The sequence below is a fragment of the Homo sapiens genome, chromosome 10, assembly GCF_000001405.40.
Source record: "Homo sapiens chromosome 10, GRCh38.p14 Primary Assembly".
Classification (NCBI taxonomy): domain Eukaryota; kingdom Metazoa; phylum Chordata; class Mammalia; order Primates; family Hominidae; genus Homo; species Homo sapiens.
This window is the reverse complement of record NC_000010.11, coordinates 1,070,625-1,084,550: the sequence shown is the minus strand read 5'-3', so window position 1 is coordinate 1,084,550 and position 13,926 is coordinate 1,070,625. Positions and strand designations below refer to the sequence as shown.

The window sequence follows — 13,926 nt, the reverse complement described above, 5'->3', positions numbered from 1 at the left end:
TGTGCGACTCACCGGCTGATGCAGTCCCGAGCACCACTGGCTGTGTCTTGGCCACGCTGACATCCCAGATGCCGTCCCGGTGGCCGATGTACTCCTTCACGAGCTGGCAGGCAGCTCTCGATGTCGTGGTCTTAAAGCTGGAGACAATCTGAAACCAAGATGGGGAGTCTTGTGAAACAATTTACTGAAGTAAATTTTTCTAAGTCAAGAAAGAGAAAACGAAAAAGACGTCTTGGAAAATGCACAAATCACTGACTAGGACAGTTAAAGCATCAAGGAACACAGCGCAAGTGTGAGCTGAAACGCCCTGCGTGGAAAGGGTGGCGGGTTCAGCTCATATCACAGAGAATGCGTGCAGCTCTCGCGGCGACCTGTGCAGGCTCCCCCACCTCAGTCTGACAGCCAGGCATGGAAGGTCTCACTGCAGAAGGGTGGATTTAGGTGTTTCAGGTCCTCTCCCCCAAACCCAAACCATGAGACAAAATTTCCAAATTCTTAAACAAATCGTTAGCTAGCCACTCAGATACAAAAAAGTCAGGAAGGACATCCCAAACCCTTAACTTTAGCTAATGACACTGATCGCTGTACATGTTCACATTTTGCTGTTTTTGAGAATTTACACCAACCACGTATCATCAAGTGTAAAAAAAGCCTGTGGTGGGGAGGAATCAAAAGACGACACTAATAGGTGTGCCGGTTTGCCCGAGACTTGGCGCTCGCTCAGAACAGGCACCAGCTATGAGGATGCAGGGCAGCGCGGCCGTAGGCCCCTGGCCTTTTGGACATGCTCAGCCCAGCAGGAGACAACGCGAACACATCACGGACCACAGAAAGGCATCGTCTCGAATGACGACACACACAGCAGACAGTTCTCATGCCCTCTTGTCAGGAAAAATATGAAGTGAGTGAGGAAGAAACTAATTCAACACAACGATTTCTGCAGAGTTTGCTTTTTAAATTTTTCTTTGGTAAGAAAACAGCTGTCCAGCTGTTAAGTAAATCAGAATAATGTAGACTTTTCAGAATAAAACAAAAAAACTAAGTGAAGAACTAAAATCAGTGGCATTACACAACTTGTTTCAAACACTGATTTGGCATAGCCCTGAAAAACACATCTAAATTCATTCTTCCTAAGACCATAAAGCACAACCCACTGTCACATGGATTTGGGTCCGCACCCTCGAGTTATTCTCCTCGGATACAGTGATATAAAAGGCTGAGGAAGAGGCCAACATTTTCACCAGTAACAGGAAGAACTTCCACTGCAACTGGTCAGAGGAATTGCAAAAGCACTTGTTCAACCTCAAACCCATCATTATCCTCTTTTCTTTCTGAACACTAATATCCTATTCAATCCAGGAAAATTATGCCTCCACAACATGGGAGATGCTTTTGCTTACAGAAAGTGTCATTCAGATGTTAAATAACATTGTAACATTTTAGGAGGGAGTGAAATTAAAGGACACACACAACCTCCCACCATAATAAGCGGTGGTAAATTTCACTTTCCAAGTCTCTCACCATTTCTAACATTAATAACCGTATTGTAGTAAATTTCATTTTCCAGGCCTCTCACCATTTCTAACATAAGTAACAGTATTGTCGTAAATTTCATTTTCCAAATCTCTCACCACTTCTAACATTAATAACAGTATTATAAGAAACAAACTACTAGAGTTACATTCTTCACCTGCTCCATTCGCAGGGTAAGAACAGAGTGGCTCCTTCCCAGAGGCTCTGACTGCACTGCTGCTGGAGCTGTGCTGCTGGAGCTGTGCTGCTGGAGCTGTGCAGGGGATCATGTGCCGTTTTCAAATATTTTCTCATGTGTTGCTTCCAAAATGCCCACTGCACTTTGACCATCTATTACCTTAACTCTTTTTCCTTAGAAAAGCTGACTTAGTCGTCATTACCAAGAGGCCCAACAAAACAGACTGAATTACCTAGAGGGAACGTTCATAACAGAAAAGCAGCAGAACAAAGCCGCAAACTGACGCTCACGCCCATCATCCCAGATCGTTTGAACTGCGGCGCAATCTAAAGCACGGTTGTGAAAATGTTTGCAAATATTTTTGAGAAGATAAGTGTCTTTCTTTGTGGAAAAAGCCCTTTCTGATTTTTATAAGTTTCTTTAAAGAGGGCTGCAGGTTAGACTTCCTCACTTCCCTCCCCCGTAGGCATCAGAAATCTCATTAGCCACCCAGGAAGGGGAAAAACCTCTTCTGCGTTCACGTAACACACTTTTGTGTTCCCGCTATCCCACCAGGCACGTTACTTGCTTTTCGTGGCTCTGGGTCAGAAGGAGGGAAAGTAATAAAGCTAGACTGTAGCCTTTCTCTTGTTGCATTCATGCTTAGCTTTGGCACCAAGAATCCACACTGTAGTACGAATCAGAATATATTCTGTTACCAAATTATTTCTTCAATCTTCAGATGTCTTATATTTTCATAGTTATTTTTTACAATGGGTATGGGCAGTGTGCAAAGGCTATAAAGATCATTAGTAATATGCTTCTTATAAATTCAGATGAATTTCTAGTACCTAAAATGACTGGGCTTTAAATATCTCTAATACATTTTTTAAAGCAAAGCATTACTATACATATCCTTACCCTTGTCCAAATCTTATTTTTTACTGCTCATGGTAAAGGACAACTTTATATAATCATTTCTTCCTCTACTTCAGTAATAATGAGAAAGTTTTGGAATTCCAAGACCATACATTGTATATATACAACTGTACACACCAGAAAAAACAACATAATCCAAGATAATGTAAAAAGAAATTAAATGAGGAAGAACATAATTTCACACTTCATTATGAAGAAAAAGCTTCAAGTTAATTTATTAAAAAGTTCAAAACTTGTAAGTATAAGCTAGACATTACATGGCCAAAAAAAAAATCAAATAAATTAGCAACTTACATTCTAGATGTTATCGAAGGAAAGTACAGTAGAAAATACCAACAATTTCAGATTTTCTTTTGAATAACAAAGAATTACCAAAGACTATCAAGTGAGGACAAACGGCAGAAGGACTAAATTTGCTCTATTAATTGCAGTTAATCTTACTATAGATGTCATGCTAAATTAACTTTAAACTCAAGGAAACAAATTGGAAAAATAAAAAGCTAACAAGAACTACTTACACCATCATAGCAAGATCACTGAAAATTTCAATTTATCTTTGTATCCTTGAAATATGCCAAAGTACAGATGCATACAAAATTACCTCAAAATATCACTTGATAGTAATCCATCACAGACAAATGAATTCCCAAACAATTAAACCCTTTCCACTTTAAGAAGGTCAGCACGAGATACTTTAAGAAAATACAAAAACCATGAACATCCCTATTTGCCTTAGAGACAGACCTTCACTTCCTGATCACACTTAGGAAACTGAGGAAAAGAACATAATGAACTAAAATGTAACTTTAGCTCAGAACATAATTTTCACTAATTTGTACCTATTTATTAGCTTCCTCCAAATTCAGACCCTTTATATTAAGCCAATTAACAAGAGAAATTATATATTCCCTCTAAAGACAATATATTTACTAATACATCATATATTAATCCCTGTAGGTACTAGGGTAAGCTACTATGTAAATGCCTGCATAGTGACATTCTTTTTTTTTTTTTTGGAGTCGGAATCTCGCTCTGTTGCCCAGGCTAGAGTGCGGTGGTGTAAGCTCGGCTCACTGCAACCTCCACCTCCCAGGCTTAAGCAATTCTCATGCCTCAGCCTCTCAAGTAGCTGGGATTACAGGCACCCGCCACCACACCCAGCTAATTTTTGTATTTTTAGTAGAGACAGGGTTTCACCATGTTGTCCAAGCTGGTCTCAAACTCCTGACCTCAAGTGATCCATCCACCTCAGCCTCCCAAAGTGCTGGGATTACAAGCATGAGCCACCATGCCCAGCCAGGACATTCCTTTAAAAAACTAAATTTCCCTTAAAACCATTTATCTTTTTCTGCTATGCCTTTCTAATTGGAAAATAAACAACTTAAAGTACACATCTGCACACCTTAACCACCACATGATGGCTCAAGAGCCAGTGGCCTGCATACCTTGCTGGTGGAAGCCTTGTAAGTGGTCTTCAGTTTCTGGGAGAGCTGGCTGGTGCTGTGACTGGCTGCAGGGACAGAGAGTGACAATCAAACACAATCACACAATCAAAGACCTATAGCCTCACAAATGGGTCTTGTGTCTTGCACAGGAAGAAAGGGGGCCCAGAAAGGCTCGTTTGACCCTAGTGACACAGAGCCATGGCAGAACAGGAACAAGAACCGAGCTCCTTATTCTCCTAGACCCACACCTGAATTAGATAGTTCGAGGTCTGCTGACAGCAAAACGCAAACCAGCCAGCATCCTTCACTAAATTCCAAATTTCCTGCATGTATAATCTGCAGGACAAGACTTTCATGGGATTCACCTTACCTTTTGTTTTGAGTTGGCCCTTACTCAGCTCTGCTCCATCAATCGCTTGTCCTTCAGCAGCTAAACGTTCATTAAGAGTGTCGATTTCTCTACGTACTGGGAAGAAAAAAGTTTTCAAAAATCTAAAGTATGTTTTTATGTTTAAGTGTACTCACCACTTCCAAAACTCGCACACAGAAAAAATGCTATATATTAGTGTTATATAAACAAAGACATGAATAATATTCTAATAAGCAAGATCACAATTCATAGAGTTCTCAAAAAACTAAAGAAACCATTCGAGGCTGGGTGAGGTGGCTCACGTCTGTAATCCCAGCACTTTGGGAGGCCAAGGCAGGTGGATCACGAGGTCAGGAGTTTGAGACCAGCCTGACCAACAGGGTGTCTCTACTGAAAATACAAAAAATAGCCGGGCGTGGTGGTGCATGCCTGTAATCCCAGCTACTCAGGAGGCTGAGGCAGGAGAATTGCTTGAACCCGGGAGGCAGAGATTGCAGTGAGCCGAGATCACGCCACAGCACTCCAGCCTGGACAACAGAGTGACACTCCATCTCAAAAAAAAAAAGAAAGAAAGAAACCATTAGAGATACCATTCCAAAAGTAAAAGCTCACACACTTGCTACACTGTGGAAGACACTGCTATCAGGGTCTCAAAGACAGCACCCGCATTTCAACATAGTTTCCATAGTGATTGATTCTGCACGATTAAAAACATTATTCTGGGCTGGGCACAGTATCTCATGCCTGTAATCCCAACAATTTTGGAGGCCGAGGCAGGCAGATCACTTGAGGCCAGGGGTTCAAGACCAGCCTGGCCAACATGGCAAAACCCCTTCTCTACTAAAAATACAAAAATTAGCCAGGCATGGTGGTGGGTGCCTGTGATCCCAGCTACTTGGGAGGCTGAGGCATGAGAATCGCTTGAACTTGGGAGGCGGAGGTTGCAGTGAGCCCAGATCACGCCACTGCACTCCAGCCTAGGTGACAGAGCAAGATTTTGTCTCAAAAAAAAAAACAAAAAAGTTGAAATGATTTTTCCCTCTATGAATTGTAAAGGTGGACTCTTTAAAAAGGAGAATCCAGTATTAACATTAAAATTTCCAAAAGCAAAGTTTAAATGACAGAGGATTATATTCTCTTCATTATTCATCCAACCACACCACTTAGTTACAGAGTGAAAAACAGCTTAACAATGGAAATGCTCTTTGTTAGTATTCAACCTTTGGAATCAACCTGTAGATAAAGCATGAAAGACTTGATTGTAGTTACATTTGTCTAGTACAAATTTTATAGTTTGGGTGTGGTGGCTCACACCTATAATCCCAGCACTTTGGGAGGCCAAGGTGGGAAGACCACTTAAGCCCAGGGGTTTGAGACCAGCCTGGGCAACACAGTGAGACCCTGTCTTTATATATATAAATTTTACAAACACAAACCCTGAAGGAGAAAAACTGGAAAGTAATAGAGCAGCGCAAAGGACCTGTTTATTTCACTGTGAAGCATTAACACTAAAGCGGATAGATCTAAAACCAGAAGATGATTACTTACATTCACAGGACTAACCACCAAAAGAACCAAAAGCAAAAACATGCAGAAAATGTCTTCCTTTGAAGAGTGCGATGGGCTTGAGGGGTAATGGTAGATTTCTTTTTATACTGTCTGATAAATTTTTAAGCACATATGGCCATTACTTCCAAAATAAAAAAAAGATAAATTAAAGCCAAGCTAATTCAAAATTGTTTTGATTTGTCTTTAATAAGTCAGATATAGTATATGCATCAATTTTCAAATGATGGTATATTAATAAAAAAGTAAATCAATGTTTTCTCAATTTATGGTGTACTTGGTGTAGGGAAAATGATAAGATCCATGTATTTTTTATTTTTTATTTTTATTTATTTACTTTTGAGACGGAGTCCTCGTGGGAATTATACCAGACCCACAGAACTGCAAGATGACAAATCTGTGTTAGTTTAAGCCACTAAAATAAGTTTAAGTTTGCTACAGCAGAACAGAAAACTAATATAGTGATGAATGTCTATTCATAAATTTGACTATGGATAGGTAAAGCTATAAAAGTATATTAAAATAGGAGATACTCACATTCTAAGTTTTCGATATAAAGGTTTTCAAATTCTCTTTCTATTTGACCAAACAGTTCCAGAAGTGTACTGCGAACCGAGGAAGGCAGTTTAGAATCCTGCAGAAGAAGACTTTGTTTAAAATGAATGAATGAATGAAAAACTCTAAGTACAAATATGCTTTTTCCAAAGTGAATTATCTTTTATTGTAAACTCTTATTTTGTATTATTACATATTTTTATATATAAAATGCTTAAAGAGTTTAAAGTTCCAAATTTCTGCCAAGGAGACTATAAATCAAATTGTATAAATGGCTACCTAGTATGATATGGGATTTGAAAATAAACACTCCTTCAAAATAACACAATTTTTCCCTTTACAAGAGAGGACATAAGCCTACCTTATTTTAAAACTTCCAAATTTGGAGAGAAAGGCGGCAGCTCCCATAAATGAACTATTATAAACAGCCTCTGAGTGCCATCATACGCTATCCTACAAGTATTTTAATCTGCTAGACCCTCATGGAAGAGGCACCTTTGCAGAGTTCCCGCCACACCCACTGCACTTTAAGCAAAAGCACAGTCACTCTCCCATCACTCGACATAACACCTAAAAGAGTGTTGTGAAGAGGAAAAAAAGAAAAATTTCACAAAAAAGAGCCAAATGTCTATTAATTGAGTGAAAACATTAACTTTTTATTTCCTGCCCAGGCCACGCTCTTCATGCCTGTGTGTTTCCCGCACCCCTGGGAAGGCGAAGGGAAGGAGCTACATTGTCAAGTGTGGTCCAGCAAGTAAGCAGGTCCTGAGCACCAAACATATCACAGGCACTCACTGCTTGGACCCACCAGTCAACAGGAGCCTGCTAGATACAGCCATGTGCCACTCCAACCTCCCTGAGGGCATGGCCTATGCACTATTTGGTATGTGTCCCCTACTCCCAACACCCAGAGTAATTTTCAAAAAAATCCCCATCAAATATTTCTAAAATAGTGTTTCAATACTTACCTTTTTTTTTTTTTTTTCGAGACAGAGTCTCGCTCTGTCACCCAGGCTGGAGTGCAATGGTGTGGTCTCGGCTCACTGCAAGCTCCGCCTCCCAGGTTCAAGCAATTCTCCTGCCACAGCCTCCCCAGTAGCTGGGACTATAGGCGTGCGCCACCACACATGCTGGCCAGGATGGTGTCAATCTCCTGACCTCATGATCCGCCCGCCTCAGCCTCCCAAAGTGCTGGAATTACAGGCGTGAGCCACTGTGCCTGGCTGATACTTAATGGGACTTTTCAAATTTACATATAGCATAAACTTTTTTATTCTGATGAGTCGTAAACTTTTTTTTTTTTTTTTGAGATGGAGTCTCGCTCTGTCACCCAGGCTGGAGTGCAGTGGCGCGATCTTGGCTCACTGCAAGCTCCGCCTCCCAGGTTCGTGCCATTCTCCTGCCTCAGCCTCCTGAGTAGCTGGGACTACAGGTGCCCACCACCACACTCAGCTAATTTTTTGTATTTTCAGTTAAGACATGGTTTCACAGTGTTAGCCAGGATGATCTCAATCTCCTGACCTCATGATCTGCCCACCTCGGTCTCCCAAAGCTCTAGGATTACAGGCATGAGCCACCGCGCGTGGCCGAGTTGTAAACTTTTTAAAAAGATGCACTATATTTATTAAATCCTTCTGAGATCAACTTAAAAGACAGAAATTTTAGGGAAAAATGACAGCATTTTAGCAATGTGAGTTTTACAGTTATCACAGATTTCTCACAAAAATTTTACAAACCACACACACACACGCACACCCACATATATATACTACTTTAAATACTGAATCTACTGAATTGGTACTATAGCCTCTAAACATCCTTCTAAAACCAATGAAGAACACGGAAAAAAAAAGAAAGGAAAATGTAACTATAAAAATTAAAACTAGGCCATCAAAAAGGACATCCCAGCCAGGCACAGTGGCTCACGCCTGTAATCCCAGCACTTTGGGAGGCCAAGGTGGGCAGATCACCTGAAGTCAGGAGTTCGAGACCAGCCTGGCCAACATGGTTAAACTTCGTCTCTACTAAAAATACAAAAATTAACCAGGAGTGGTGGCAGGCACCTGTAATCCCAGCTATTTGGGAGGCTGAGGCATGAGAATCGCTAGAACCCAGGAGGTAGAGGTTGCAGTGAGCCAAGATCAGTACCGCACTCTAGCCTGGACAACGGAGCGAGACTCCGTCTCAAAAAAAAAAAAAAAGAAGTTCCAATAACTATGAAACATAAGCTTGTGCTGAACTGAGAATCACTATTAGTATTTTCCCTGCCCTGTGGCCTCTGCACGCCCCATTCCCACTCTGTGAACATCCCTCCCCACAAGCATCCCTCCCCAAAAGCCCTTCTGACTCCTACACAAGGCCAATCTCCTCCTACAGAATCAGTTCCTACTCATCTATACCCATCATGTTTTAAGGCTCTTATTGTTCAGCAACTAATTACATCATGTCATATATACTTGAATATTAAGTGCATATTAATATAAAAGTAGTTGCTAACACATGGACACAGGGAGGGGAATATCACACACCGGGGCCTGTCGGGGCGTTGGGGGGCTGGGGGAAGGATAGCATTAGGAGAAATGCCTTATGTAGGTGACAGGTTGATGGGTGCAGCAAACCACCTTGGCACATGTATACCTACGTAACAAACCTGCTCGTTGTGCACATGTACCCCAGAACTTAAAGTATAAATTTAAAAAAAAAAAAAAAAAAGGAATTGCTATGGAAAAGAAAGCTGAGAAGTCAGCATTAACCTCACTTTATAATCAAGAAACTAAATGCACAGAGAAATGAGGACTTGTCCCACTAGAGGGCAACTTGAGCCCAGGAAGAGCGCGCTTACAAAATGACTTTCAACCTTTTCCATCAGTTCTCCCTTTCTGTGCCATTCAATTTCACAGACTCTCAAACGAGTTGTTGAACTTTTGGTACCACTTGAGAAAACTCAAGACACTACTGCCGTGACTCAGCAAAGCTTTTAAATGAATTTCTTCCATCACATCGACACCAACACACACCTGAAAGCACCTGCACGCACGTGCGGGAAGCAGCCAGCTCTTCAGGCCGCAGCCAGCACTGTGTGCACGTGGACGTCGCAGTTCTCGGCAACGACAGACCTCCTGCGCCTGCGCGAACCTGGCTTTCTAAACTACTTCAGACTGGCAAATCTGAGATGTATAAAGTTAAACCTAACACGATGTCTCCCTCAGACTCATCTGCCCTCTCTTCTATATTGCTGCTCCTCAACAACTGAAAGGGCGTCACTCTACACTGTCTAGAACGAGCCCACTCCTACGTTAATCAACACCTCCCTGTTCTGAGATCGCCCCCCTCACACCTACCATGCCAAACGCGTGCGGCAGACACCACAGCTCTCTCCCGCCCACGGCAGGGGGAAGGCAGAGCACCTCACGGGGGCCACTCACCTCTCCCGCCCAGGGCAGGGGGAAGGCAGAGCACCTCACGGGGGCCACTTACAGAACATGCTGACCGGTCCCACTCCGAATCACTGCTCATTGAACAAATGAGCTCCGTCTAGGGAGCGAGCGTGGGAGACACAGGCCAAAGGTGGAGCAGAGGACGAGGCCGTGCGGCTTGGAGACCTCTGAGCTACCTTCGTGAGGGTTACCATGAGATGCAGTCACCGCCTCTGCTGTGTCACAAAGGAGAATGGGCATTCAGGGCCCAGAAAAGAACACTTTCACCCCAGGCAGGAGACAACTCTAGAACATGCCAGCAGGGGAGGCTGCAGGGTTTCCACTGCTAGAAATGTACGTGAACCTACAAATTAGGAAAACCTATCTTGGACTGCTTACTCACACTGTCCAATAGGGTAGCCACTTGCCACATCTGACTATGTAAATTTCAATGTAATTAAAAGTTTTAAAAATTAAAATCTCATGTCCCGGGACACTGGCTACATTTCAAGTGCTCAGCAGCCACGTGACTGGTGGTTCCCACATCAGACAGCAGATACAGATACAGACACTGCCCCCACCACAGGAGTCCTGCCGCATAGCTCTGCTGTCTCCTAAGTGCTGTGTTGAACGGGGTCCACAGGCCCAGGACCTCAGCATGCGACTGTGTTTGGAAGCAGGGCCCTGAAAGAGGTGGTGAGAGTAAAATGAGGTCATAAAGGAAGGCCCTCCAGTATGACAGGGGTCCTTGTAAGAAGAGACTAGGACAAGACACGCAGAGAGGGACAACTCTGTGAGGACACAGGGAGAAGATGGTGTCGGCGAGCCACAGACAGAGGCCTCAGGAGGAACTAGCCCTGCTCACACCTTGATCTAGGACTTCCAGCTGCCTGGAAGGACCATGAGAAAATAAATGTCTGTTGTTTAAGCTGCCCAGTCTGTTAAGCTACCCAGTCTGTGGCATTATGTTATGGGAGTCCTAGCAAAGTAATACACTAAGAATACCAAAGCTATTTTTGTAATTTTTTTGAACACTAAGTTAAAATGTAATCACTTTTTATAGAAATTAGAACCAGGTACTGGTTTATTTATTCAATGCATAATCATCTAATTTGAGGTAAAGATCCTCTTCGTGGCAACAGTCATGTCGGATTCTGGGTTCACACTGCTGTATTCAGTGTAGAGGTCCCGGCCTCGAAGTCCTGGCATAAAGTTACCCACATGGTCCTAACAAAATCCAATATTCACAGAAGCCAATTTCTCAGGTTTAAGCTTTATCTTCCTACAGCATTATGGCTGATGAATTTGTTCTAATTGTGAAGGAATGGTTGTAAGTTTACATATAGTTATATACATATATAACCATATATTAGATATATCTAGAGCTTATTTTAATATAAATATACTGCGTCTAGACTTCACAACACTCTTTAAAAATTCTGACAGAATTTCATCAGCTATAAATGAACTAGAAAAAGTATAAGCAAAACTTATCTTTATCAAAAATAATTAGTTCATTTTAATCCAAGAATGACATACTCATGGCGGCAGAGACAAGGATAAACCTAAGCAAAGTCACTAAAAGATCTGATTCCAAAAACTCTTCAGAGAACAGAAAGAGATCATTAAAAGGATATGATACTCTTCTTTTCTTGAGACTGTTAGAGACAGAAAACCCAGAATTGTACTGTCCGCAAGCCTGTACAAAGAATAAAACTAATCCCAACTCTCATACCCACTTTGATTTGTTATTACTTAGTATACATATGCTAACCCATCTGTGTATGCTGTTGTATTTGATAGAAGTTTTAATGAGTTTATTTTGGGGGAATTTGGGAGGGGTGATCTTTCTTCTTAGTAACCCAACCCTTTTTTTTTTACTTTGGAGACCTTTATATATTTGGCTACTTTTATAACGTCACAGACACAATCACCATCTTTAAAATAAGGCCTTGATCCCGGGGCCGGTGGCTCACGCCTGTAATCCTAACACTTTGGGAGGGCGAGACAGGTGGATCACCTGAGGTTAGGAGTTCGAGATGAGCCTGACCAACATGGTGAAACCCTGTCTCTACTAAAAATACAAAATCAGCCGGGCATGGTGGCACATGCCTCTAATCCCAGCTACTCAGTAGGCTGAGGCAGGAGAATCACTTCCACCCAGGAGGTGGAGGTTGTGAGCGGAGATCGCACCATCGCACTCCAGCCGGGGAAACGAGCGAAACTCTGTCTCAAAAATCAATCAATCAATAAGGCCCTAATCAATCGTAGCTTACTTGTCCTTCTAACATGTCTCTTGGCAGTCCCGTCCTCTCCTGCTCCGAGCTGTTAGTTCTTCGTATAGAAAGGCTATGGGATTTGCGCTTCTGTTTTGTTTGGCGAGCAGTCGAACAACTTGCGCTTTCTGTGGGCATTACTTCTAGGAGGTAGTGTCCTGGTCACTCCTGCAATAAGCTAAAAACAGCAAGAAAAAACAGTGTTTCTGATACAGCGAGTTGAAACAAAAGAAAAACAGTGAAGAAGATAATGATGACTTCTAATTACAAGCTTCCTTACTATAGTTAACATTAACTATATAATTTGGAATATGACAAATTAAGATGTTTTAAGGTAGGGACCACAGCCTTTATTAAAGAAGTAATTTCTTTATCAAATTTCATTAACATCTTAAGTATCAAATGGCAAAAAAGAGGTTTAAAATTTAAAAAAAAAATTGCTCTCCCTTAACCCAACGGAATTCCCCAGGCACAGTCTACTCCCCCGAGGGAACCAATGTTAATTGCATATTCTAGACTACACATTCTAGACTCATGCTGTCCAATAGGAATATAATGCAAGTCATGGATGTAAATTTTCCAGTGTCCACATTTTTAAAAATAAAAGCATATGAAATTACTTTTAATGATTTACTTAACCCAATACGTTTAAAATATTTTATAGTCAACATAAAAAACAATGGGATATTTTATGATTACCTCTTTGAAATTCAGCGTGTATATTTACAGCATATCTCAATTCAAACTAACCACATGTGATTAAGTTATTCAAATCTCTAATTTAAATATTATGATTTACCCACTTTGGGCATTTTCTACTCATTCCCTGTTATTATCCATCCTTCCTCCCAATTATATCACTACGTTACTTACTACAATCTTAGGTAATATATTTACACACATATCTTCTTTCTTCAACTACAGATTTTGCTATTTTGAACATTACCTGCTGATTTTTTGCTATTACTGATCCCTCCTCCCATGAACACAATCCTATCATCAGGCCAGCTCAGCACCTCACTGTCAAAGAATGCCTGACCCATATGCAGTCAAAGGCAAAGCAGGACACGCCCACGACCTCCCAGACGCCAACATGCCTCCATCATCTTCTTTTAGAGAAAAGACTGGCCCAAGTCCCAAGAGCAGGGGATGGTTCTGTGAATATATCAGCGTAAAGGAAAAATACGCTAACCTTTAAAATACACATAAGGACTACGTAAACATCTAAATTCCAAGTAGACAGTTACAATGGTGACTTACGCAACAGCAATAGCCTGAGCCTCAAGGCAAGACCTTATTTCTGGTGTGCCCAGCCCTCTTCATTATCAACTCCTTAGACATTACCAGGTGCAGACACACATCCCTGAAATGCTACTCCTTTCCTTCCAAATGGCTCTCACTTACTCAATAGCCCTAACACCTCCTTACTTTGTTATAGAATGATTCCTTTTCTACAATATTTTAAAATCACTAGCGTTCCCTTCTTTTTAAACAAGTCAGCCTGTTTTGAAAAATAAGTTTATCTACACATAGAAGAGAGTATTCTTAACAGAGATGAAATGTATTCACAAAAAATTTAGAGTGTCTTCCATAAAGGTTATTAATAACATAAACAAGATCTTTCCTATTCAGTTTATTAAGCATTCTAATTATAATCCTAAATACCAAG

At 41.4% G+C, this 13,926-nt stretch overlaps 1 protein-coding gene across 1 annotated transcript in view; it reads right to left on the bottom strand.

Annotated features, from left to right (window-relative positions):
- Window positions 1-13,926, bottom strand: part of WDR37 (WD repeat domain 37) — a 75,988-nt gene that overhangs the window by 47,822 nt on the left and 14,240 nt on the right. Inside the window, exons 2-6 of the mRNA NM_014023.4 lie at window positions 12,258-12,435; window positions 6,548-6,644; window positions 4,445-4,540; window positions 4,075-4,139; window positions 13-148 (exon numbers count right to left, since the gene is read on the bottom strand). Of these exons, the coding sequence (NP_054742.2) occupies window positions 13-148; window positions 4,075-4,139; window positions 4,445-4,540; window positions 6,548-6,644; window positions 12,258-12,395 (532 nt within the window). The 5' untranslated portion in view covers window positions 12,396-12,435. The remainder of the gene's footprint in view (window positions 1-12; window positions 149-4,074; window positions 4,140-4,444; window positions 4,541-6,547; window positions 6,645-12,257; window positions 12,436-13,926) is intronic.